The 26119-nt window shown below is 44.7% G+C and overlaps 2 protein-coding genes and 1 long non-coding RNA gene across 3 annotated transcripts in view, besides 1 other annotated feature; 1 reads left to right on the plus strand and 2 right to left on the minus strand.

The window, feature by feature from the left end:
- Positions 1 to 26119, minus strand: part of P3R3URF-PIK3R3 (P3R3URF-PIK3R3 readthrough) — a 136349-nt gene that overhangs the window by 93037 nt on the left and 17193 nt on the right. The gene's annotated exons all lie outside the window — the stretch shown is intronic.
- PIK3R3 (phosphoinositide-3-kinase regulatory subunit 3) overlaps positions 1 to 26119 on the minus strand; it is a 134762-nt gene that overhangs the window by 93037 nt on the left and 15606 nt on the right. The window lies entirely within an intron of this gene.
- Positions 6 to 235: an enhancer, noted in NCBI's record as "active region_992". NCBI's record gives its function as "activates an Ori minimal core promoter by ATAC-STARR-seq in GM12878 lymphoblastoid cells {active_cell/tissue: GM12878}" and the evidence as "EXISTENCE:reporter gene assay evidence [ECO:0000049][PMID:35858748]".
- Positions 195 to 5905, plus strand: LOC101929626 (uncharacterized). Its single transcript, NR_125987.1, has 3 exons — positions 195 to 214; positions 1355 to 1478; positions 5691 to 5905. It is a non-coding gene; the product is annotated as an uncharacterized LOC101929626 (long non-coding RNA).

Raw genomic sequence — 26119 nt, forward strand, 5'->3', positions numbered from 1 at the left:
GCGGGACAAAGGCAGAAGGGGAAAAGAAAAGAGGAGGAAAAAAAAGAAAGAAAGAAAGGAAGAAAACGCAAACGGCGGTTACTGACAGGCTGGGCGAGCGCTCGGGGGCTCAAACTGCCTGGAGACAGGCGGGGCTCCTGCTGAGGCTTGGTCCGCCCGGACGAGTAAGGAGAGGAGCCAGGGAGGACCTGCTGGCGTGAGACGCCTCTGCCCGGTGATTGGCCGCGGGGGAAGGGAGCGGACACAGAGGGGGCACGTTCTGTCACTTGGCGGGGTGCGCGCTCTTCTGGTCCTTAGGAGGTCTCTGGGGAGACTCCTTTCCTACAGACCTCTTCACCTTGCTGGGACAGCCCTCTCCGCACCCTTGACAAGTTGTCAAAGCAATGGTCCCCAAACCCACTTGCCACCTTACCACTCAGGGAGAGGATGTGCCCGTGGCCCCTGCAACCTTCCTGGCTGCTACCTGACCCCACTCCCTGCTTCTCCCCTTGAGCAATTGGACATTTCTGAGGGAGGCATTTCGCAGTTCCTCTGTGCTTCCCACCCAAAGACTTTTGAACCCAGAGGTAACTCCCCACGCCTAAAATAGTGAGAGGTCTCAGCAAGCCCTCCTGCTCGAGTGCTCAAACCAATTAAAAAAAAAAAAAGTCTTGGAATTACAGTGCATGTGTAATTTCTAAGATAAGTCACAGGTGTTGGAATCTCTCACCAAAAGGGCTCTATTCTGTTTCCCTGACAGACCCTCTTCCTCACATACTCATTCCCACCCCCAAAGCTTAAATCTGGGAGATTGGCTTCACTATGAAAATGCTGAATATTTCCATGCATTTCAGAAACAGCTAATTAACTTGCTGGGGAACACTGAATAGCTAAAAGCAGATTTGTGTCTCCTGAAGATTGTGCCTGGAATTGCCATCCTGTATACCCTACAATACAGTCTGAGGAGGCCAAAAACTGCTCCATTTCCTCTTTACACAGGAGTAACAAAGCCCATTGTGTTTGAGTTGACAGCCTGATTTAAGCCCTAGCAAAACCTCCTACCTTGAGCATGTCTGCTATATTGATTCGCCTATGGAAGAGTTGCCACGTTTCACCCTCTACCTCCTAAGGTGGTTCTGCCTTCCTTAAAGATGCCCTGAGTTGAGACAGTTCCTGAGGGCAGACAGTCAAAATGTATATGGACTGGGTATAGAGTAACTGGTTTAAAAGGGCCAGAAAGTATGGATGGACATGGTTGAGCTAAGAAAAGACACCAGGATTCTTATATGCTTTCTTATTATTTCTGAAATCCAAATATGATTTCAACTTTGGGGCAGGACTCATTAATTATAATTTCCTGAACCATTCCTTACAGGTAGAAGATACTGGAAGATCAACTCTAATTTGTGGCTGCCTTCCCAGCAGTCTCTACTTCAGCATATCTGGGAGCCAGAAGCACTCAAGTTTGATAACTCAAAAGACAGAACAATCAGTCAAGGGTGGGTTGGTTTATTTTTGTTCACGGGTGTTCATGTGCATTCCCAAACAAAATGAGGGTGAAGAGAGAGGAAGTGTGGAAAAGATAATGGCTTTCAGATTTCCACAGCACCTTTTGCCTGGACCACTTTTCAGCATTTAGTGGTGGGGTTTCAGTTTCTAATACACAGAGCAATCACCCAGGCTTTTCCCACAGCTAAGGCTTTGAGAGATGAAGTGACGTCCAAGCACAGTATATAATCAAGTGGTCAAGGCTGACACATGGAGTAAAGCTGTGATTCAGTCTTTCCACCTAAAATTGTATGACCCAACTCTCCAACTTAAATAGACCTTTGAATATATCTCCAGAGAATAAGTGATGCAAGAGGCAATGATGAATCAAGGGGAAGCAAACTTTCTTAGTCCTTGAGCTTAAACCAGTGCCCTGCCATGGGGGAAAGCACCTGTGAGATGATTCTGGTCTTTCTTTCAGTTGAGAAATAGAAGTGAGGTTGTGATTGCTTGTCACCAAACTGCCCCAGGCTCTTTGGCAAAGGTAAAAAATGTTAGCTCGGGTGTCCTGGACCACTTCCAAGTTGGAGAATTATATTTGACCTGGGTGTGGATTAAATTCAGCTCTAAGCACTCAAGCTCCTGGGTCACAACCTGCTACTTTGGGAGCTGCTTGTTTTCCTTTGCCCTCTCCCTTTCTTTTTTTAATTTAAAGTAGTCTTAGGTAAATCATGAAATCTGCTTTCATTTATATATCTATGAAATAGATTTATGCAAGCTGCTTAGTTTATAGTGAAACACTTAGAATGAAAAAATATGCCACTTAAGTATTTAGGATTAATAGTACTTTTCTGTAACTCCAAATGGCTAGGATGCCCTTCACTTTTCACCCTGGTATGGTTTTTTTCTGCAACTGTTCAAATATGCTTCATTTCTTCCTCTTTATTTCAGAGATGGATGAAATATTTCTTCTGTGCTCTGAATATAGGGTATGATCTCAGAGCTCTCTGTGCCAGCAGAATCAGTCTGGAACTCAGCCAGAAGTTCTTCGTGATTAAAGGTGCCATCTGAGCGCACAATATTTTTTTAAAAGCCTTGCAAAATGGGGCCGGGCACGGTGGCTCATGCCTGTAATCCCAGCACTTTGGGAGGCTGAGGTGGGCAGATCACGAGGTCGGGAGTTTGAGACCAGCCTGGCCCACGTGGTGAAACTCCGTCTATACTAAAAATAAAAAAATTAGCTGGGCATGTTGGCAAGCGCTTGTAATCCCAGCTACTCGGGAGGCTGAGGCAGGAGAATCATTTGAATGCAGGAGGCAGAGGTTGCAGTGAGCCGACATCACGCCATTGCACTCCAGCCTGGACAACAGGGCGAGACTCAGTCTCAAAAAAAAAAAAAAAAAAAGCCTTGCAAAATGGAAATATACTTTTTTTTTTTTTTTTTGATCACTAGCATTAGCACCAGAACTGACTTTAGACTTTGGGTAGGGATTCTACCAGCCTCAATACCTTCTTTTTCTTCTCTCACCATTTTCCCTTGACCACTTGTCTTGTGATAAGGCCCAGTCCATGCAATTAAATAAACTCATTTAACAAATATGACTCCCAGAAAGCCCTACAAATTATCAGTTGCAGATTTTTAGGGCCTCCCCAGACACTTGACTTGTAAGTAGAAGATATATCAAGTTTTGATGGAAAAGTTTGCCTTCACAATGTACAAAGAACCATGTTAGTGGATCTTCTGGAAAGACATCTCACCTGAAAATCAATAGTCATCTCTTGAGACAGCAGTGTCTAAAATCGTGATTTTCCATTTTTTCCAAATGGTATTCCTTGTATTTGGCATTTGCAATTTTTTACCTTTCCTCATCTTTCTTAGCACTTGAATACCCATGATAGAGTTAATCATTTAACCCAAGGCACTGAGAAATTATGACATTATATGAATGAGTAGACTTCATTAAAGTGGCATTCCCCTAGATGCTGCTGAATTCCAGGGCTTAGGGGACAATGTTTGAGGCCTCACTTATACACCTCAGCATGTGATGTAGATCTGCTCTGCCTCACTCTTCCCACTTTGGGTCCTCATTTAGGTTTAGGGGTAACAAAAGAAGCAAATCTCTCTAGCTTGACATCTTCCTCACTTTTGATGTCTGCCCTTGTAGTAACACAGGGGCCAACTGGATAATATGTATGCCATTGCTGCAAACTTCCCCTCCAACAAGGCAACAGATTTCAGCTCAGCTCTCACCAGGGGAGAGAGCACAAATTAGATCCAAATGGCAGGAACAATAGTCCAGGCTGTTTCAGGAGGACAGGGCACAAACAGGGCAGGCAGCTGGTGAAGCTCTGTTACCTCATTTAATCTCCATAACCCTGGGGTGGAAGGCTGTATTTTTATTCTCATTTTACAGATGAGGAAATTGAGACCCAGAGCAATGAGGGGATTTGTTCAAAGTCATGCAGTCACTAGTAGCAGAGTCAGGATTAGAGCCCCATGTCCTGACTACCAGTTCATTGCCTTTCCCGCTGCACCACACAGCCTTCCTCTCCCATTCACTCACTTAGCAAATGTTTGTTGGTGCTTCCAAACACTGAAGATACAAAAGTGAATAAGACTGAGTCCCTAACATTGAGTCCAGAATTCATAGAGGAGGGACCAACAAAGGAATAAATAATTAAAGACACAATAAGCGCTATAATCAAGAATTTGACAAAGTGTGTTGGGGGAGCCCCAAAAACAGTGCTGATCTCTAACCATGTGCAGGTGAGTAGAAGCTTCCTGGAAGAGGTGACATTTGGCTGCCCCAGACTTGCATGCACCTGCTTTAAATGTGTGGTCCTTTACTTCTCAGTTTTCGCAATTCACAATTAACTCTAAGCCTGAAAAAGTTTCGTCGAAAGCTGATTCCATTAGAAAGTGGCAAACTCCTACTTCTCTGCATCTGATCTTATACATTGTGCTCACACAGACCCCTGTGCTGGCCTCTGCACAGCCCTTGGCACACCATGTTCAAAGTGTTTGCTTCCAGTTCTCTCTCCTATCACTCTTTAGAGTTCCTCATGTTGGACAACAGTGGTTCCTCATGGTCCTTTAACCATCAATGCCCAGCCCAAGGCCTGGCACACAGTGGGTAGCCAGTGAATATTCTTCGAGCGAATAAGCAAAAGTGCAAGTAAACTCTCCAGGAAGGCTCTGGGGAGTCTAAGTTCAAATTATCCTAGTAATCCTTTCTGTAGGTATTCAGCTGACTTTGTTTATTTAAACGGAGGAAAAGAAAACCAAAAACTTGTACAGTTCTTTGGCTACAGGAACCAAGAGGGGCAGACAATGACCTTTCCCTCCCTCTGGCTGACCCTAGGGTCTTCACCACAGACGCTGAGTTCCGCTGCCCTTTTATTTTATCAGCTGTGAATTGTTTGCAAAATTCCAAGCAGTTTGTAGGAAATTCAGGAAAATTCAGCAGCTAGAAGAGAAACTGGTTTCATTTTCCAGCTCAGCTTTTTTCTGAAATATAACACCATATAGGGCTTTAAAGCATGCTCACTTCCTGTGGTCATTATTTCAATAGCTTTGAGCAACTTGTAGTTTATGCCTTCTTTCTGGAATGTCCAATAATTGCCCTGTAATTCCACAGGTCTCAAATCTAAAAACCATTTTATACGTTTCATTGTTAGAGGGCAATATCAGTCCAGTTCCCTTATTGGATAATTTTGGTTTAAAAAGATAAAAAGACCAGGCATGGTGGCTCACGCCCATAATCCTAACACTTTGGGAGGCTGAGGCAGGAGGATCACTTGAGCTCAGGAGTTCAAGACCAGCCTGAGTAGCATATGGAGATCCCTGTCTCTACAAAATTAAAAAAATCAGCTAGGTGTGGTGGTGTGCTCCTGTAGTCCCAGCTACTTGGGAGGCTGAGGCCAGAGGATCGCTTTAGCCCAGAAGGTCAAGGCTGCAGTGAGCCAAGATAGTGCCACTGCTCCCAGCCTGGGCACAGAGTGAGACCTTGTCTCAAAAACAAAGTCCTGCAGCCTCCCCAAACACTTCTGCAGGGGCATCATTCTTGAAATCTGGGAAAATGGTGTGACTTCTAGGGTTTAAAGATCACCACTTGGGTAAGAAAGTATAAGCATGGAATGTAAAAGGCATGAACATGATTGTTTGTGTCCTCAGCTTTGAGCATTTGATTGAAAATGATACACTTACAGTGATTTTCTTCCAGGGTAGAGGCTACCTTCCATTCTGCTCATCTTACACTTCTTGGAAAGGAGACATTCGGTGAAGATCACTACTATTCTCCAAACTTCATTCGGGACCCTATTCCTTCCCTGTTGATGTCAGTGTGTGAAATTCTAAATTATGTCATGGGTGTATACGTTCAAAAGCAATATATTTTCAAATAAACAAAAAATATAATTGGCCATCACATATACCAAATATGCAATATGATAATTGTGCCTAAAGTAGATTAATTAAATGTTAATGGTAAACAGGAAGAACAGTTCAAAATGACAAGCTCTTTCAGTTTAATTCAACTGAGTCCCTCCCGTGGGTCAGATCTTTTGCTCAGTACCCCATAAGACACTATTTCTGCCCTTTATGAACCCACCACCTACTAAGGGAGACTTATGAGAACACTTTTGCTGACCCACGTGCTTCTTTTTTTTTTTTTCTTTTTGAGACGGAGTTTCACTCTTGCTGCCCAGGCTGGAGTACAATGGCATGATCTGGGCTCACTGGAACCTCTGCCTCCCCGGTTCAAGCAATTCTCCTGCCTCAGCCTCCTGAGAAGCTGGGATTACAGGTGCCCACCACCATGCCTGGCTAATTTTTTCTATTTTTAGTAGAGATGGGGTTTCACCATGTTGACCAGGCTGGTCTTGAACTCCTGACCTCAGGGGATCCACCCACCTTGGCCTACCAAAGTGCTGGGATTACAGGCATGTGCCACTGTGCCCGGCCTTACCCATGTGCTTCTAAACGGACTAACTCTCCCTAAGACCATAAGATCAGGACAAGAGAATTCCCATCCTCCTCGTCTTTCCTCTTCAACAGCCTTACACTCTTTCTCAGCTTCTTCCTGGCATCCTCGACTGCTGAGTATTAACCTCACACTTCTCACTGATTCTGTTCTTGCAGCATTGACTTCTGACTCTGTTCCCTAAATACAACTCACACATACCACTTGGATCCTATCTTCTTTTCCAAGACAATGGAGGAATCTAGCTCAGTATCCTACCCTGACATAGGGGCATGTGGTTGGTGTTTCTGCTGAGTTTCCCAGGACCCTGCAAACAAGAACCAGACAAATCTGTCATACCTATGAACTGCTCCCCATCTGAAATTTTTTTGAGGGACAAGAGGAATGGCGTCTCGCTCTGTCACCCAAGCTGGAATGCACTGGTGTGATCATGGCCCACTGCAGCCTTGACCTCCTGGGCTCAAGCAATCCTCCTGCTTCAGCCTCCCGAGTAGCTGGGACCACAGATGCACACCACCATGCCTGGCTAATTTTTTATTTTTATTTTTTGTAGAGACAGGGTCTCCCTATGTTGTCCAGGCTGGCCTGAAACTCCTGGCTTCAAGCTATCCTCCTGCCGCAGCCTCCCATGTGCTAGGATTACAGGCATGAGCCACCACACCGTGTCCCCTCTCTGAAATCTTTAATAGATGACTCTCTTTGACCTATGCCAACCCCCACCATTTTTTTTTTCTGGCCAAGCACAGACATTGGGGAAAAATTACCACTAATACTATTTTAATGAGCTGAATAGTGATACCCAAAAAAGATATGTCCAACTCCTAAACCCTGGAAGCTCTGAATGTGAACTTATTTGGAAGAGGGTCTTTGCAGATATAATTAAATTAAAGATCTTGAGATAAGATCATCCTGGATTTAAGGTGGATCCTAGATCTAATGATCAGTGTGTCCTTATAAGAAAAACAGAGGGAGATTGGAGACATAGACATAGATGAGAAGGCAATGTGAAGACAGTAATAGAGATTGGAGTGATATATCTATAAGGCAAGGAACACTAAGAATTGCTTGCAACCCCCAGAAACTAAGAAAGAAACATGGAGTGGATTCTCCTTCAGAGCCTCAGAAGAAACCAACCCTGCCAACACCTTGTTTTGGACTTCTGGCCTCCAAAATTGTGAGAGAATAAACTTGTGGTTTTTTTTGTTCTTTGTTTTTTGTTTTTTTGTTTTTTGTTTTTTTGTTTTTTTGTTTTTGAGACAGAGTCTTGCTTTGTCACTCAGGCTGGAATGCAGTGGCATGTTCACAGCTTACTGGAGCCTTGAACTCCCAGGCTCAAACAGTCCTCCCACCTCAGCCTCCTGAGTAACTGGGATCACAGGTGTGCACCACCACACCTGGCTAATTTTTTTTTCTTTTTGTAGAGACGAGGTCTCACTGTTTCCCAGGCTGGTCTTGAACTCCTGTGCTCAAGGGGTCGTCCCACCTTGGCCTCCCAAGGTGCTGGGATTACAGGCGTGAGCCACTGCACCTGGCCGATTTCTGTTGTTTTAAGCTACCCAGTTTGTGGTAATTCATTATGGCAGCCCTAGGAAATGATACAACCACCATAATTTAATTTTTTTCAAGCACATTTTATTTTACTTTATTTTATTTATTTATTTTTGAGACAGAGTCTCACTCTGTCACCCAGGCTGGAGTACAGTGGCATGATCTCAGCTCACTGCAACCTTCCGCCTCCCGGGTTCAAGCAATTCATTGCCTCAGCCTCCCGAGTAGCTGGGATTACAGGCGCCCACCACCACGCCCAGCTAATTTTTGTATTTTTAGTAGAGATGGGGTTTCACCATCTTGGCCAGGCTGGTCTTGAACTCCTGACCTCAGGGGATCCACCTGCCTCGGCCTCCCAAAGTGCTGGGATTACAGGCGTGAGCCACCGCGTCCAGCCTTCAAACACATTTTGAAATCAATATGTAGAGATCATATAATTTTAGAATAAAGGATCATCTTTCCCAATGAATGACTGTAAGTCACATTAAATATAGTGCTCAAACCTATAAAACTTTGTCATAGACTAGCTCTAGTCCTAGAAACCAGAAACCTAATCCCAACGTGAATCTTAACCATTTTCTCCCAGTGTCATCAAATGTCTCTCTCCTGTCTTTCCAAAAGAGTCAGCCAGCCAAAGCCAAATCCCAGGCCAAAACAACAGTCTACTTCTGCTCTTATGCCCAGGTAGTTGGGCTTAGGTAAAGAAAACCAAGTTTACCAACTTAGCTCTGGGCTGGTCTCTGGTCATAATTGGGATTCCTTTGGCTCATTCTGTATCTGCTTATTCTGATACTCCAAACCTTCACTACTCATCTCAAGTGACTACCTTCCACTGTCAGATCAGTAAATGTGACCTCTCCTTTTACTTGACAGAAATCAACAGGCATAATACTCCCTTCCTGTATTCATCCCTTCAAAAGCCTGTAAACCTGTACCCATTCTTGCTTCCTTGCCTTCCTTTCTGAAGAAGCATGTCTTTCCTGGAGTTGAAAGCTAATCACTAGATTTGACCTCTGGATGGCACCCTCTTCAGCCTCCTAAAACCAGTCCTACCCCCTCTCCTGTCTATCCAAATGCCTACTGGATGCCACACAAATGTTTCAAAATCATCATATCTGAGCTAGTTCCTTTTCTAGTTAGGTGACAGGGCCAGATGAAAATATAGGCCAGACAGGAAGAAAACATGTACAAAACCCCAGAGGAGAGCACATCGCTCTTTGAGGACATTGAAATTAATTACAGAGGCCGGGCGCGGTGGCTCACGCCTGTAATCCCAGCACTTTGGGAGGCCAAGGCAGGTGGATCACGAGGTCAGGAGATCGAGACCATCCTGGCTAACACGGTGAAACCCCGTCTCTACTAAAAATGCAAAAAATTAGCCAAGCGTGGTGGCGGGCGCCTGTAGTCCCAGCTACTCGGGAGGCTGAGGCAGGAGAATGGTGTGAACCCGGGAGGCGGAGCTTGCAGTGAGCCAAGATCACGCCACTGCACTCCAGCCTGGGCGACACAGCAAGACTCCGTCTCAAAATAAAAAAAAAAAGAAAAGAAAAAAAAAGAAAGTAATTGCAGGCTGGCCTAATGTTAAAGGAGGTAAAGGGTGGTGGGGATGAAGCTACAGGGTAGGCATGAAGAGGCTTATAAGTCAAGATAGGAATGTGTACTTTATGCTCAAGCAATGGGGGGAGTTTAGGAGTTTTAAGCAGAGGAGTGTTGTGATGAGATTTGCATTTGAGAATCATCAGATTGCAAAATGGATTGAAGGGGCAAACTTTGAAGACTTGGAAAACATTGTTGCAACAACGTGGGCAAACGATCAAGAGTCCTGTGTAGATTTGTGTAGATGTGAGAGATGCTTAGGAGGTAGACAAGGCCACACTAAATGAGTGATTAGGTAACCAGCATGTCTCCACCCTAAAGAATGGGCCACTCAATAATGAAATTACAGCCTTTCTTGTGGAGAATCTCTCCCTTCATTGGTAGTATTTTTCTCCTTCGCTTCTGCGTGTGATTCATTCATTTCCAGGACCTCACTGGGTAGATCAGCTAGCTCCAAGATCACTGCTAATGGGTTAAGGCCTAAAGGTGTGAGTGGATCAATGACCCAGGCTGGTCAGTCAATTGCTCCATTGTAGTAGATACCTTTTTTGTGTTTATTTTTTTAATTGATACAGAATACTTTACATATTTATGGGTTACATGTGATTTTTTTTAGTATATACAATGTGAGATGATCAAGTCAGGGTATTTGGTGTATCCATTAGGTTTGAGTGTTTTGTTTTGTGTTTTTTGAGACAGGGTCTCACTGTGTCGCCCAGGCTGGAGTGCAGTGGTGTAATCACAGCTCACTGCAGCCTCGACCTTGACTTCATAAGCTCAAGTGATCCCCCCACCTCTGCCCTCCCCACCACCACCCCTGCTCTTCAGTGCCAGTAGCTGGGACTATAGCACATGCCACCATGCCCAGCTAACTAAGAAAAAAAATTTTTTTTTTTAGAGACAGGGTCTCACCATGTTGCCCAGGCCAGTATCAAATTTCTGGACTCAAGCAATCCTCCCACTTTGGCCTCCCAAAGTTCTGGGATTATGGATGTGAGCTGCTATGCCTGACCACCTTGAGTATTTATCATTTTTATGTGTTGGGAACATTTAAAGTCTTCTAGCTACTTTGAAATACATAATACTTGCATCTCTACTCTGCTGTTGAACATTAGAACTTACATTTTCTATCTCACTGTTAACCAACCTCCCTTCATCCCCCTCTCCCACCCACACACCCTTTCCCAGTCTCTGGTATCTATCATTGTAGTGGATACTTTTTAGTACCTCTGGCCAGTTCACCATGATGTCCCCCTTCTCAATTTGTACATGACTGTGTCCCTGGCCATAGCTGGTAGGGCCTAGGCTAAATTGATTAGAGTTTCTTTCATAAATATTTGGAAATAGTACCCAAAACAAGATCTAGGCTCTTCAGGGGTTTGGACCTATAACACGGAATCAATCTCTGGAGGTATTATGGCCATGTTCACCCTGAAGGCTGAGTTGCAAAGGAAGCCGGTCTTCAGAAAGCCAAGGAAGGATGAAAGAAATGCTCTGAAAGGAGCAGAGGTGAGGAATGGAAAGAATACGAGCAGTAATCAATTTCCTGAGTATAGAGCTTCTTAAGGCCCAGCTTGGTTCCTATACTAAGGTCAGGCCTACACCTAACATTTGCAGGGCCCAGGATGAGAATATAAATGGAGAGCCATATACCATATGTCAAAATACTTGAAAGTTACAAATCAGGCCAACCATTAAATAAAAAATACTCAATCCTCGGCCAGGTGCGGTGGCTCATGCCTGCAATCCCAGCACTTTGGGAGGCCGAGGCGGGCGAATCGCAAGGTCAAGAGATTGAGACCATCCTCGCCATCGTGGTGAAACCCTGTCTCTACTAAGAATACAAAAGTTAACTGGGCATGGTGGCACGCACCTGTAGTCCCAGCTACTTAGGAGGCTGAGGCAGGAGAATCACTTGAACCCGGGAGGTAGAGGTTGCAGTGAGCCAAGATCGTGCCACTGCACTCCAGCCTGATGACAGACCGAGACTCCATCTCAAAAAAAAAAAAAAAACGACTCAATTCTCCTATCTTGCCAAATATATCTTCATGCAAACTTAGAAGACTGGGTTGAGGCTGGGCACGGCGGCTCATGGCTGTAATCCCAGTACTTTGGAAGGCTGAGGCGGGTAGATCACCGAGGTCGGGAGTTTGAGACCAACTTGACCAACATGGAGAAACCCCATCTCTACTAAAAATACAAAATTAGCCAGGTGTGATGGCGCATGCCTGTAATACCAGCTACTCGGGAGGCTGAGGCAGGAGAATCGCTTGAACCCAGAAGGCGGAGGTTGTAGTGAGCTAAGATCGCGCCATTGCACTCCAGCCTGGGCAACAAGAATGAAACTCCACCTCAAAAAAAAAAAAAAAAAGAAGAAGACTGGGTTAAAATTTAGAATTCACAGATCCTTAGAGTTCTGACAAAACATGGGGGAGATGGGAGGGAGAGAACTGACCCCTTTTTCTTCCTACCCTTGGCTCTATCCTGCACTGTGAGACTGTCAAGGGAGTCTTTGTATACATGTCCAAGCTGCTTCCATCCATCCCTGTCTTAGTCCATTTTGTGTTGCTATAACAGAATACCTGAGGCTGGATAACTTTTTAAAAAAAAAAAAAAGATATTTATTTTGACTCATGATTCTGTTGGCTGGAAGAGTCCAAAATTGGGCAGCCACATCTGGTGAGAGCCTCATGCTGCTTCCATTCATGGTGCAGAGTGGAAGGGGAGCTGGCATGTGCAGAGATCACATGGTGAGAGAGGACACAAGAGAAAGCAACCAAGGAAACAAGGCTCTTTTAACTCATCTATTCCCATGAATTCAAGACCTCACTCACCCCTATAGGAAGGCATTAATATATTTGTGACCCATCCTCCTCCATGACCCAAACACCTCCCACTAGTCCCTACCTCCCAACACTGCCACGTTGGGGATCAATTTTCAACATGAGTTTTGATGGGAATAAACCACATACAAACCATAGCAATCGCCTTACAAATAGCTGTTCCTTGACCACCTCTTGGTTCTAAAGGTGCTGATACTGACAATGCTCTCCTTAGGAGAACAGATCCAGGGAAAAGGCCCATGCAGTTCCTAGAAACAGGCTAAAGTCCATTTGGGCAGAGAATTCCAGGACTCAGGATACTAAGCATAGTTGAGAAGAGGGAGGTGAGATAAGCGGAATACTTATCTGGGTGGAGAAGCACCCTTGGCCATATGGATTTCTCATCCTATGAAGAGAGGTAGGCTCAGAGAAGAGCCAAAGCCGGGCCCTCTAGACATGGGGCCCAGGGCAGGAGTCCCTCTTTTTCATGTCTAACGGGGCTGCTTATACAAATGTATTATTTATTTAAGGAGACTCCAACTACATTCTGTTACTTGCAGCCCAAGAATCCTAAGTTCCCTTTACCCTCTGAACCACTGTCCAGTTTTCTCTCTGCTCCCCAAAGATCCCAGAGTAGTACCTGGGAGAGGGCTTCCTCGTGAACTCTAATGCTGACCAAATGTGACAGAAGCAGGGATGCAGCTTTTTTCATGGGCTGTGCTATCAGTGGTAAATTATTTTGGTCAATCACTGTGACTTTCCTCACCCACTTACAGTCTATACATTTTACCTCCAATTAGAGATTTTGAACTTAATAGGCAGCCACAAACTCTAAAAATCATACTTTATTTTATTCTTGCATCTTCTGGCAACATACTCAATATCATATCAGAGTTTAAGGGCCCTGCCTCCCATCTGATTTGGAAGTCCTCCAAAATGGGAAAGGTGTTCAGATGCTAGGCAGCCAAAAATGTCAAATGTTCCCTACAACCTCATCGATCAGGTCTTGAAGCTATCTCCCTTGGAGGAGGCTCCAGTTCTCTCCCTTGGGAAGCCTTGAGTATTTTAGGGACAGCCCCCCTCCCCTCCAACTCTACACACACACACACACACACACACACACACACACACACACACACACACACACACACACACACACACACAGCTTTGGTCCTGCCCATCTCTCCTCTCTCCAATTCTATACTCATGGTTGGGGTAGTAATGATCTGCCATGGACCACACAGTCAAATGCCACCATAAGCCTGGTATTCAAGACAGGAGCTTCCTGCTAGACCTGCCTCAGAGCCTCACTCTCAGTGGCCTGAGTATACCAGTGAAGAGAAAACATCTGTACCCTCACGGACCTATAGTAGCCTCTACTAGAAGCAACCAGCCTAGCACTGGGAAACAAATGGGCAGGGACTGGAGGGAGGGTAATCTAGCACCTGACACTCCTGCTTTCTCAGAACTTACCTGTGATTTCCTACTTTTGCAGCAGGAACTCTGTTTTTTATTTTATTTTATTTATTTTTTGAGATGGAATCACGCTCTGTCGCCCAGACTTTGGAGTGCATTGACATGATCTCGGCTCACTGCAACCCCCTGCTCCAAGGTTCAAGCGATTCTCCTGCCTCAGCCTGTAGCTGGGACTACAGGTGCCTGCCACAAGGCCCAGCTAATTTTTGTATTTTTAGTAGAGACTGGGTTTCACCAATGTTGGCCAGGCTGGTCTTGAACTCCTGACCTCAAGTGATCCACCTGCCTCAGCTTCCCAAAATGCTGGGATTACAGGCGTGAGCCACCACGCCCGGCCAGGAACTCTGTTTTTGTTGTTATTGTTGTTTTGAGACGGAGTCTCGCTCTGTCACCAGGCTGGAGCGCAGTGGTGCGATCTCGGCTCACTACAAGCTCTGCCTCCCGAGTGCACGCCATTCTCCTGCCTCAGCCTCCCGAGTAGCTGGGACTACAGGCGCCCACCACCACGCCTGGCTAATTTTTTTTGTATTTTTAGTAGAGACGGAGTTTCACTGTGTTAGCCGGGACGGTCTCGATCTCGATCTCCTGACCTCGTGATCCGCCCACCTTGGCCTCCCAAAGTGCTGAGATTACAGGCGTGAGCCACCATGCCCAGCCAGAACTCTGTTTTTTTAAATAGTGTTGCACCTCACTATCAGACAGATTTGTGCTAATGAAAACAACAGATTTTCGCTCTTCCGCACTTTTCTAACATGATGCCTTCCAAACATCCATGTGGGTCAGCAATTGCTAGGAGAAGCTTCAACCAAGTAACTCACCAAAACTACCAAGGCATTGAACTCTCAAAAAAAAAGGGAGTAAGAAAATTGACTTCCTTCTGGATTTTAAGCTGACTTCTAAATTGGTGCCCTGGATCTGCACTGATAATGCCAAGTTAAAACACTAAAGAATTTTGCAATCTTGGAAGAGTTTTTCGTAAACATTATGAATGCTTCTAATTTTCAGTGATGGAGAGGGACCAGTGTTAATAATGGAGGTCTTCTCATGGCCTGTGCTTACCCACTTGGTGATATTACACCTTTCACTGAGATCAAGCAAATTTACTGAAGCTGTAAAGGGACAACTTCAGGCTCGAGTCTTCCATATGGTCCAGTATCACTGTGGTATTAGCATGACTTTTCAGTTGCAAGTGACAGAAAACTAGCTTAAGACAAATAAAGGGGTAGTCTCACTTCAGGAACAGCTGAGTGGAGGTGCTCAAACAATGTTAGCAAGAACCAGACTCGTTCCCAGTTCTCCTTCCCTCTGTTGTTTCCCCAAGAGGTCACAAGGATCCTGTCAGGCAGTTCCAGGGTTACATTGCATCCAACTAGCAACTCTTTCCAGCAGAGTGCAAGTTTCTCCATATAACTGCGAAGTTCTGGAGTTGAATCTCATCAGCCTAGCTTGGATCACATGCTTACTCCTGAACCAATCAGAGTCCAGTTAGGTGGAATGTTTTAATTGGCCAGGCCTAGGTCATGTAGCCACCCTTGGAAGCAGAGTGCAGGGATCAGTTGCACTCAAGCTACAGAGACTGAGAATTGGAGAAGAGCATTTCTCAAATAAAATCTGAGCAGAACAAAACATATTTACTACTCTTGAAGAACCATTGTTCGTGCTTCTCCAAGATTTTGGAGAGAGAGAGAGAGAGAGAGAGAGAGAGAGAGACATGAAGAGAGAATGAATATATAAATGAAAAAAAAATGCCTCCAGATAAATTCAAATGATAAATGACTTTCTCCATCAACCTTTAGGCATTGAAACCAGATCAACTCCATCTTAAATAAGGGCTGGGTGAAATTAGGCTGAGACCTGCTGGGCTGCATCCCCAGGAGGGGATTCTTAGTCATAGAATGAGACAGGAGGGCAGCACAAGACACAGGTCACAAAGACTCCACTGATAAAACAGGATGCAGTAAAGAAGCTGGCCAAAACCCATCAAAACCAAGATGGCTATGAAAATGACCTCTGGTCCCTCACTGCTCATTTTATGCTAATTATAATGTATTAGCATGCTAAAAGATACTCCCGGCTGGGCGGAAGTGGCTCACGCCTGTAATCCCAGCACTTTGGGAGGCTGAGGCAGGTGGATCACCTGAGGTCAGGAGTTGAAGACCAGCCTGGGCAACATAGTGAAACCCCATCTTTACAAAAATACAAAAATTAGCCGAGCGTGATAGCAGGTGCCTGTAATCCCAAATACTTGGGAGGCTGAGGCGGGAGAATTGCTTGAACCCAGGAGGTAGAGGTTGCAGTAAGCCGAGATTGTGCCACTGCACTCCAGCCTGGGCGACAGAGCAAGACTCTGTCTCAAAAAAAAAAAAAAAAAAAAAAGACACTCCCAGCAGTGCCATAACAGTTTATAAATACCATGGCAACATCCAGAAGTTACTCTATATGTTCTTTGTGTGTGTGTGGTTTTTGTTTTTGTTTTTGTTTCTGTTTGAGACTGAGTCTTGCTTTGTCACCCAGGCTGGAGTGCAGTGGCGCGATCTCAGCTCACTGCAGCCTGCTGGGTCTAAGCGATTCTCTTGCCTCAGCCTCCCAAGTAACTGGGACTACAGGCATGCACCACCACACCCAGCTATTTTTTGTACTTTTAGCAGAGGCGGGATTTCGCCAAGTTGGCCAGGCTGATCTCAAACTCCTGACGTCAAGGGATCCACCTGCCTCAGCCTCCCAAAATGCTGGGATTACAGGCCTAAGCCTCCGCACCCGGCCAAGAAGTTACCTTATATGTTCTAAAAGGAAGATTTCCAGGAAATCCGTGTAAACTCAAGAATAATCCACTCCTTATTTAGCATATAATCAAGAAATAACCAAAAGTATACTCAGTCAAGCAGCACATACTACTGCTCTGCCTATGGAGTAGCCATTCTTTTATCCCTTTACTTTCTTAATAAAGTAAGACAGCTTCTGTTATCCAAAGATAATGCCATTAATCAGTAGCTGTTTGCACGAAATCCAAGAACCCCCTTTTGGGGTCTGGATCAGAACCCCTTTCTGGTAACAACATGGATTCCTGAAACCCCCATCCCTTCATATTGATGACCTATACAAGACAGACAAAATCCCCCGTCTATGTCCTCTTATGCAGTTGTAGGGATATTATAATACCTTCTCTGACGCTCATTGCTGGAAACAACTCACTCCATAGGAAGTGGCTAAGCTATCCTGTATGTGGAACACAGTGTGCTGGGCTATTGTGGAATGTCTGTTGAGAGCCAGGAAATCCACACAAACTCAGATCTTACCTGATTTTTTCCCTTCACTATCACTAAATGGAATATATAGGATATGGAATCCAGAGTTAATGTAGTTAATCAGTAGGTCTTTGAGGTGATTTCAAAAATCATCCATCTAAGATAACACAGACTTTCTGTACCATTTTCTAAAGAGTCTGGGTTTCCCGTACTTTAACTTATGCTGCTTACCCTAAACCCATTATACTAAGCCCCATTCTTGGAGAGAGAAAACTACTCCTGGTTTGGCCCTTCCATGACAACTTCTCTTTCTACTTTTTGAATTTTGGGGAATCCCCCAAATTAAAACTCTAAGTTAGAGAACCCAGAGTGGAAGCAGAGAAAATGGGAATTATTGGCTCTTCCCTCCCTTTATTTTGCTGTGGCTTCCACACCTGGATAAGGATAAAACATCTAGATACTCTATTCCTACATGCTTCTGGTAAACACTCTTTTTTTTTTTTTTTTTTTTTTGAGACAGAGTTTTGTTTTTGTTGCCCAGGCTGGAATGCAATGGTGTGATCTCGGCTCACTGCAACTTCCGCCTCCCGAGTTCAAGCGATTCTCCTGCCTCAGCCTCAGGAGTAACTGGGATTACAGGCATGCACCACTGTGCCCAGCTAATTTTTTTTGTATTTTAGTAGAGTCGAGGTTTCACTATGTTGGTCAGGCTGGTCTCGAACTCCTGACCTCAGGTGATCCACCCTCCTTGGCCTCCCAAAGTGCTGAAGTTACAGGCGTGAGCAACTGTGCTCGGCTGCTGGTAAACATTTTTTAAAGAGTCTAGACTTGATCCCCACCAATGTACCTACCTCTCCTGAACATTGCCAACATATACCCACAGATTTTTCATCTCTTCCCCCATCTCCACAAGTCCTATAGGAAACTCAAGCCTGACAATTTGTCCCAAAACCACATCTGATCCATTCCATTTTTGTGATGGGAGGTGGCTTGGGTGCTTGCTACTTGTGAATTTGTCATTAAGCACCTCTTGAGAGTTGGTGCTTTTATGGCTGCCCCTCTTTCTAGGATTATCCCTCCACAAGAAAAAGATGGGATCTTTGCCTGGCAGAGGCCTCCTCTTTTGCAGGTTGAAGACAGTTAAACCCCAGCCAGGCACAGTGGTTCACATCTGTAATCCCAATACTTTGAGAGGCCAAGGTGGGAGGGTCACTTGGGCCAGGAGTTTGAGACCAGCCTGGGCAACATAATGAAACCCCATTTCTGCAAATAATAATAATAAAGACAGATCAAGCTCTAGGCCCATTCCTGGTCTCTTGTTCCCTGATGCTCTTCAACTTTAGGAATGCTATAGCTGGGATTTCTTCTTGGCCAGGAGCCTTCTCATCCCCAGCTTATCCAGTGTTCTGCTTTTTAGGGACTCAGAGGTGTCCATGGTTATATCTCTTTCCCCAAAACCTAAAGGGCCTCCATTAGCCCTTTCATCTGTCCCATGAAGTCTTCATGTATAGTAGTCATTGGAGTCCTTGCTGGGTATCTACAATCACCTCAATTGATTGAGTTTTCTCTACTCCATAGCTTGAGCTGCCTCTCCTCCTCCATTTTTCATGTTAGTTTCAAAAAGTAGAAGAATCTAAAAGACCACCCTGGGTTTGGCAGCTGGGAAAACCCCAAAGTCTTATCCTGGAACAGCACTAAAACTCACCTGTTATACAGGAGACCTGATTCATGCTGTTCGCATCTCTAGCTCCTGTTTCCTCTGCCTTCTATAAGAGTTTCTTTAGTCCTGGTTCAGAAGTATCTTTTCTCTCACCCTCTGATACAACAGAGAAAAATTCAGAACATCCCTGTGGTTATAAACCCTCCCCACTGCTAGCTTTGTCAGAGCATTCAACACTCAGCCAACTAACACTGAGGCTTGAAAATTCCCCTTGCCAGACTAAGAGGTTCTGCCATCACTTCTCCATATCGGGTATCTACCGCCCACAGCATCTCAGTAGAGTAGTACCCCAGCCAAGAGCACTCTTTCCCCATGCTAGGGGTGACCTTTCCTAAAAATACCCTCAACTTTCAGATCCTCATAAGTCTCTAGATTAACTAAATAGTCTTTCCTTCACCTCTCCCCCAATAACTAGGCCAACGATTTTAGTGGCAATTGGGTTGTTTTCTTATGGAGATTGTCTAACCATATCTAACACAACAACTCCATTCCCTGGTATCTCCCTTGGATTGTACGCTGATTAACATCTTTTTTTTTTTTTTTTTTTTGAGATGGAGTCTCACTCTGTCGCCCAGGCTGGAGTGCAGTGGCGTGATCTCTGCTCACTGCAAGCTCCGCCTCCTGGGATCACGCCATTCTCCTGCCTCAGCCTCCCGAGTAGCTGGGACTACAGGTGCCTGCCACCACGCCTGGCTAATTTTTTTGGATTTTTAGTGGAGATGGGGTTTCACCGTGTTAGTCAGGATGGTCTCGATCTCCTGACCTCGTGATCTGCCCTCCTCGGCCTCCCCAGTGCTGGGATTACAGGCATGAGCCACCGCGCCCAGCCTGATTAACATCTTTAGCAAACTTAAGTAAGGCTGTGTTTTCCCCCTCCTGAAGACCTTGCTGGGCTCTCTTTATTTGTTCAGGAACTTAAGAGAATTTGCACGGTCTTTTCAATTTTATGTGTGTTTATTTTTTCACAGTTATTTTGAATCTCACAATTCTTAGAGGCTTCTGGAAGTCTATATCTACCTCCACGTGCAAATTTTCCAATGTTATCTTCATCCTTGCCCTAAATATCAATTGGCTTTATTTCTAGAGGTAATGATGAGTCCATGGAATGGATATAAAATTCAATAAGATTCAAAATAATTCAAAATATAATCCATATATCCTCAGCCTCATTTGCCTGTAAAGACAAAATTAGATATTATTTAATAAGTTTTTTTACCCAACTTACTCTAGGATGAGCACCCACTTTCCTACTTGTAGGAATTAACCCTACCTCAAAGTGTCCTTCAGCCATTTTAAAGAGTTTCTCCAGGGCCTCTTGAGTTGAGAATAAGTTCTTGAATGGCTAGTCATCTTGCCAGCATACTACTTGTTCAGCTTCTATAGCAGATGGCTCCCAGGAGCTTGCTGCATCTCCAATAGTGACCACAAGCAGCAACCTATTTTGGCTTCCAGCGGGGACAATGTTTTCTGTCCTGGCTGCTGCCACCTCTGCTGATGGGGCTGAAATCTGCCTCCTTAAGGCTGGTGTGACTTGTAACTGCTGTCCTGATACTACCTGACTTCCTCCTCTCTTTCCCAATGTTTTTCCCAAGATCTGGGCAATACAGACTTTTTCATCTTGTTAGAATCGGATGTGGGAATTGAGGAGAAAGGAAAAATGAAGGATGTCTGTACTCCCCCCAACTCACTTCTCACAGAGAGTGTACTATCACCATTCACAATTATTTGCCACATGTCTGTCTTTCCCTCTAAACCACAAACTCCTTATTTACCACACAGTGCATGACTTAGACTCCTAGTCAGTGCTGCTTAACTAGTGGAATACTATGATAGACATACAAAGTACCATGAGGCAATAAAGAAAATCATCTGTCAGGATCAGATAACTTTTCCTGGAGAGGATAGGAAAAGCAGTACTTAGGACTTGATCTAGAAGGATAAGTAAGAATTCACTAGGCAGATAAGCGAAAGTGAGAGTAAAGGGTAAGTCACATAATAAAGACACTGCATGTACAGTGTGTCAAACAAGACAGAAGTTTGTTTTCTTGTCATGTAACAGTCCAGAAATAAGCAGGTAGTTCAGGTTAGGTAGGAAGCTCTAAACATAGGCCCTGTTAAAACATGGGGAAATTCTATTGCTGAAAGGAAGAAGGAGACAGTGGTTACAGCCATGCATTCCAGCTTGAGGCCTATGCAAAACTCATGAATATAAAAAAGAACAGCTTGTTTGGAGAACAGAAAAGTTCAGAATCCTGTTGAGCATGGTGGTGCACGCCTGTAATCCCAGCACTTTGGGAGGCTGAGGCAGGCAGATTGCTTGAGCCCAGCAGTTCGAGACCAGAACTAGCAACACAGCGAGACCCCAACTCCACAAAAAAATAAAAAAATTAACCAGACGTGGTGGCACACACCTGTAGTCCTAGCTACTTGGGAGGCTGAGGTGGGAGGATTGCTTGAGCCTGGGAGGTTAAGGCTGCAGTGAGCCATAGTCATGCCACTGCACTCCAGCCTGGGTGACAGAGCAATACCTGTCTCAAAAGAAAAGTTAAGTTCAGAATCCTAGGAACTAAAGTGTGAGAGACAGAACTGAGGAAATGAGGAATAGAGATAAGTGGAGGCCTCATTTTGAAGCTCCCCTGTCTCTCACCTCATCTCCTTTTAACCCTCACCCTCCCAACACACAACCACTCATTCACATCTGCTTCAGCCTTTTATCTGTCAGGATTTGATAGGCCTCAGGTTCTTTATAGGTACCTGCTCTCCCTCTACCTAGAATGTTCTTTCCCCCAGATCTTCACTATAACTGTCTCCTTCTCTTCATTCAGGTCTCAGCTCAAATTTCACCTCCTCAAAATGACCTTCCCTCACAGTGCTAGCCAAAGAAGCCCTCTCCATATCAACTTTTATTCCTATTTTAATGTCTTACTAGGATGTATCACAATCTGAAATAACTTTACTTATGTTTTTTGTTCAATGCCTATATCTTGATCTAGAAAGTAAATTCTGCCCAGGCACAGTGGCTCCTACCTGAAATCCTTGCAATTTGGGAGGCCAAGGTGGGAGAATCACTTGAACCCAGGAGTTGAAGACCAGCCTGGGTAACATGGCGAAACCCCATCTCTACAAAAAATACAAAAAATTAGCTGTGGGTGGTGCCATGCACCTGTGGTCCCGCCTACTCCAGAAGCTGAGGTAGGAGGATCACTTGAGCCCAGGCATTCAAGGCTACAGTGAGCCATGATCATCATACTATGCACTCCAGCCTAGATGACAGAGGAGACCCTGTCTCAACAACAACAAAAAAGAAAAAAAAAAACAAAAAACAGGAAACTCTGCGGAGTCAGATATATGGTTTACATCTCTGTATAGCCAGTGCCTAGAATGCTGCTCCACAAGTTTTGTTTCCTTTTTCTTTTTTTCCTTTTTTTTTTTGAGACAAGATCTCACTCTGTCACCCAGGCTGGAATGCAGTGGCACAATCTCAGCTCAATGCAGCCTCAATCTACCAAAGCTCAGGTGATCCTCCCACCTCAGCCTCCTGAGCAGCTGTGACTACAGGCACGTGCCAGCACACCCAGCTAATTTTTATATTTTTTGTTTGTTTGTTTTTGTAGAGATGGGGTTTTGTCAAGTTGCCCAGGCTGGTCCTAAACTCCTTGGCTCAAGCTATCTGCCCACCTTGGCCTCCCAAAGTGCTGAGATTACAGGTGTGAGCCACCATGCCCAGCCTAATTTTTTTAAAAAATTTTAATTGTTATGGGTACATCTACATTTTTTAACGATTGGGAAAAAATCTCAAGAAGCATAATATCTTGTGAAAATTATAAATTCAGATTTCGGTATCCATAAATAAAGTCATACTCATTCATTTACGTATTGTCTGTGGAGGCCTGGCAGATCTGAGTATTTATAACAGAAACTGTATGTCCACAAGGCCTAAGATATTTACTATCTGGCTCTTTACAGTAAAAGTTTGTCGACCCCTGGTTTAGTAATAGTAATGTACATGAAAAAGAGTAAAATTTACTTATATAAGTTGTAAAACGTGTATCTTAAAATGTGAAACTATAGATGCCTACACTGAGTTATTATGAGCTGTGCTGGCATACACATTTCTATAAATGTGCATGTTCTTCCTGGTTTTTCTCATAGAACATAGACAGTGAATAATAGGAATTCATTGCTGGCTGGGTTTTGATGCAAAAATTTCCTGTTTAAAAAAAAAATTGTCAGCCTGGCCAACATGGTGAAACCCCGTCTCTACTAAAAATACAAAAATTAGCCGAGCATGGTGGTGCACACCTGTAATCCCAGCTACTCCCAGAGGCAGACAGGAGAATCGTTTGAACCCTGGAGACGGAGGTTCCAGTGAGCCAAGATCGTGCCACTGTACTCCAGCCTGGGCAACAGAGTGAGACTCTGTCTCAAAAAAAAAAAAAAAAAAAGGTATGTGACATTTCTGACCATGAAGAATCTCATTCAGTCTCCTGGACACAGAGACAGTTATCCAGAGAAGACATCTGTGGTGAAGTAGCTAATACCCCATGCACTTGTTATCAGATCAATAACAGAGCCTGACCGGGTCTCTCTGAGCCACAACTGCCCCTGGACTGAATGGGGCATTTATCACACTGTTGTGGACAAACCAGCTGACCATCATGCACACAGGCCCAAGCGCCTGTCAATTAGCTTCTGTCCATTAGCTGTCCAAACCCACACTCTGGCCCTGGTACTGCAGTCACGTTATCAGTTCCCTCCAGACCCTGGAAGCATGATCGGCCATGAGTTCCCATCTCCTACCATGCCTCAACTCCACTTGGACAAACTGTCAGTTAATTAGCTAATGTGAACAAAACACTTGAAGCTAAAAAAATGCTCAGCTGGGCTATTATGATATTTGTCTCCTGATCCTCAACTCCCTGCAACTCCCTCCACTCCAAAGTCTGCCCACAGGACTCCTTCTATCTGTCAATAGGAAAATTACACAGGAAGTGATGGAACAGTCACCTATGTTCAAGGCCAAAGCCTCTCAATCCTCCTGACGTTGCTGCTATGGATTCAGGCAACTAGAATCATAAATCCCAGGGCCTGAGGTTTGGATTGGCTTTCCTATTTATTTTAGGCAAGGTCTGACTCTATCGCCTAGGCTGGAGTGCAGTGGTGTAACCTCAGCTCACTGAAACTTCTGCCTCCTGGGCTCAAGCCATCCTCCCACCTCAGCCACCCAAGTAGCTGGGACTACAGGCACATACCACCACGCCAGCTAATTTTCGTATTTTTTGTAGAGACAGGGTTTTGCCATGTTGCCCAGGGTGGTCTCGAACTCATAAGCTCAAGCAACGTGCCCACCTCGGCCTCCCAAGCTGCTGGGATTACAAGACATGAGCCACTGTGCCTGACCATAGATTGGCTTTCCTCTTTAAAAGGAACTAGTGGCTCAGCAGATCCAGAGTTCCCCAAATTATCAAATTTGGGATGATTTTTAATTTCTTCAGCTGGATGGCCCATTTAGAAAGTCAAAACAGCCTTTTGGAATGATTATGTGGAAATCAGCCTTATTCACTTTAAACCTTATATTCCCAGGGCCAAAACTCAATTCTTCGTCTCTCAATTCAAGCTCCTCTCGCTGCAGTGAAGGAGGAAAGCTTAGAGTCAGCAGGGACTCCAAGAGAAATCCCTGTTCAGAAAGTTGGTCTTTGAAGGACTGGGTGATGGCCGAAGTGCCCAAGGGTGCTGAAGCTTTGTGTAGTTATCAGACACCAAAACAAGAAGGTGCCCAGGGCAGACACATGTTATTCCCTTCTATCTTCCCTTCTGAAAGGTATTTCATAATACCTTTATGGAGGGGACTGAAAATAGCTGACCTCAACCATCTAAAGCCCAATTTCAGAAGAGTTAACAGCACATTTTTATTGCAATCGTATTTGGGCAATTCCTACATGCTCCCTGATAATCCTTGGGGAGCAGGTAGCACATCCTTTGTTTCTCCCTGCATTTCTATCATCACTTCTCTCCATTTCCATTCCTAAGGCTTCATCAGTACTCACTATGACAGCTGTTACAGCCTCCTGGGTCACCCCATCCCACTCCTTCTCACCCCCATTCCTGCTGATCTAAGCTGTCCTCCTCCACTGCAGTGAGAGAAATCATTTGAAAACACAATTGTGCCTATTTCACTCCCTGTCTAAAAGTGTCCAATGGCTCTCTATCATTCTCAGAATACATCCAAACTCCCTAACTTAATTAACTCACTTTAGAGTCTGCTCTCCACTTCTCACCTTCCAACATACCATGCTTGTACTCTATCAGGCAGTTTCCCCCACCCCACTTGTGACTTGCGCATGCTAGCGTCTCACGCCTTTCCTTCTTCCTGGAATGCCCTCTCCACTTCATCTTCATCCACCCTCAGAGGTCAGTCCAAGTGCCACCTCTTCCAGAAAGCCTTCCATGAGCTCACCTCTGAACTCCTAGAGCACTGCACTTGTTATTCTCTTGGGCCTGCTCTGCTTTATACAGTGGCTACTAATGTACAGCTGTTCTCTCCCCCATGGGACAGTAGGCATCTTAAGAAAGTCCTACAACCTAGTGTGTAGCATATAGCAGGTGCTGGTACATTTAGTGACTGATTAACAAACTGCAGAAGAAAGATAAGCTAAAAAGATCATGAGTCAGAGAAACAGAACTGGGATGGAGGGAGAATCACAAATCATTATCAAAAAAGAATGGTTGACAAGGTTGAAGACTAAGTTGTCATCTTAATAACAATAGATTACAGCCAGGCACAGTGGCTAACGCCTGTAATCCCAGCACTTTGGGAGGCCAAGACGGGTGGATCACGAGGTCAGGAGTTCGAGACCAGCCTAACCAATATGGTGACACCCCGTCTCTACTAAAAATACAAAAAATTAGCCAGGCGTGGTGGCGCGTGCCTGCTATCCCAGCTACTCAGGAGGCTGAGGCAGGAGAATTGCTTGAATCTGGGAGACAGAAGTTGCAGTGAGCCGAGATGGCACCACTGCACTCCAGCCTGGGCAGCAAAGTGAGACTCCATCTCAAAAATAAATAAATAAATAAATAAATAAATAAATAAAATAAAATGGCAAATAATCCCCATGGCACTCTCCTTACCTACTTTGTCTCCCCGTTACCTGCTTTAACTCCATAGCACTTATCTCCATCTGTAATACTACCTATTTTATTCATTTGTTTATTTTCAGTCTCTTTCCACTAGATTATAAATTCCATGGTCACACAGTCAGGGGC

This window comes from Homo sapiens, chromosome 1 (genome assembly GCF_000001405.40).
Source record: "Homo sapiens chromosome 1, GRCh38.p14 Primary Assembly".
In the NCBI taxonomy this organism is placed as follows: Eukaryota; Metazoa; Chordata; class Mammalia; order Primates; family Hominidae; genus Homo; species Homo sapiens.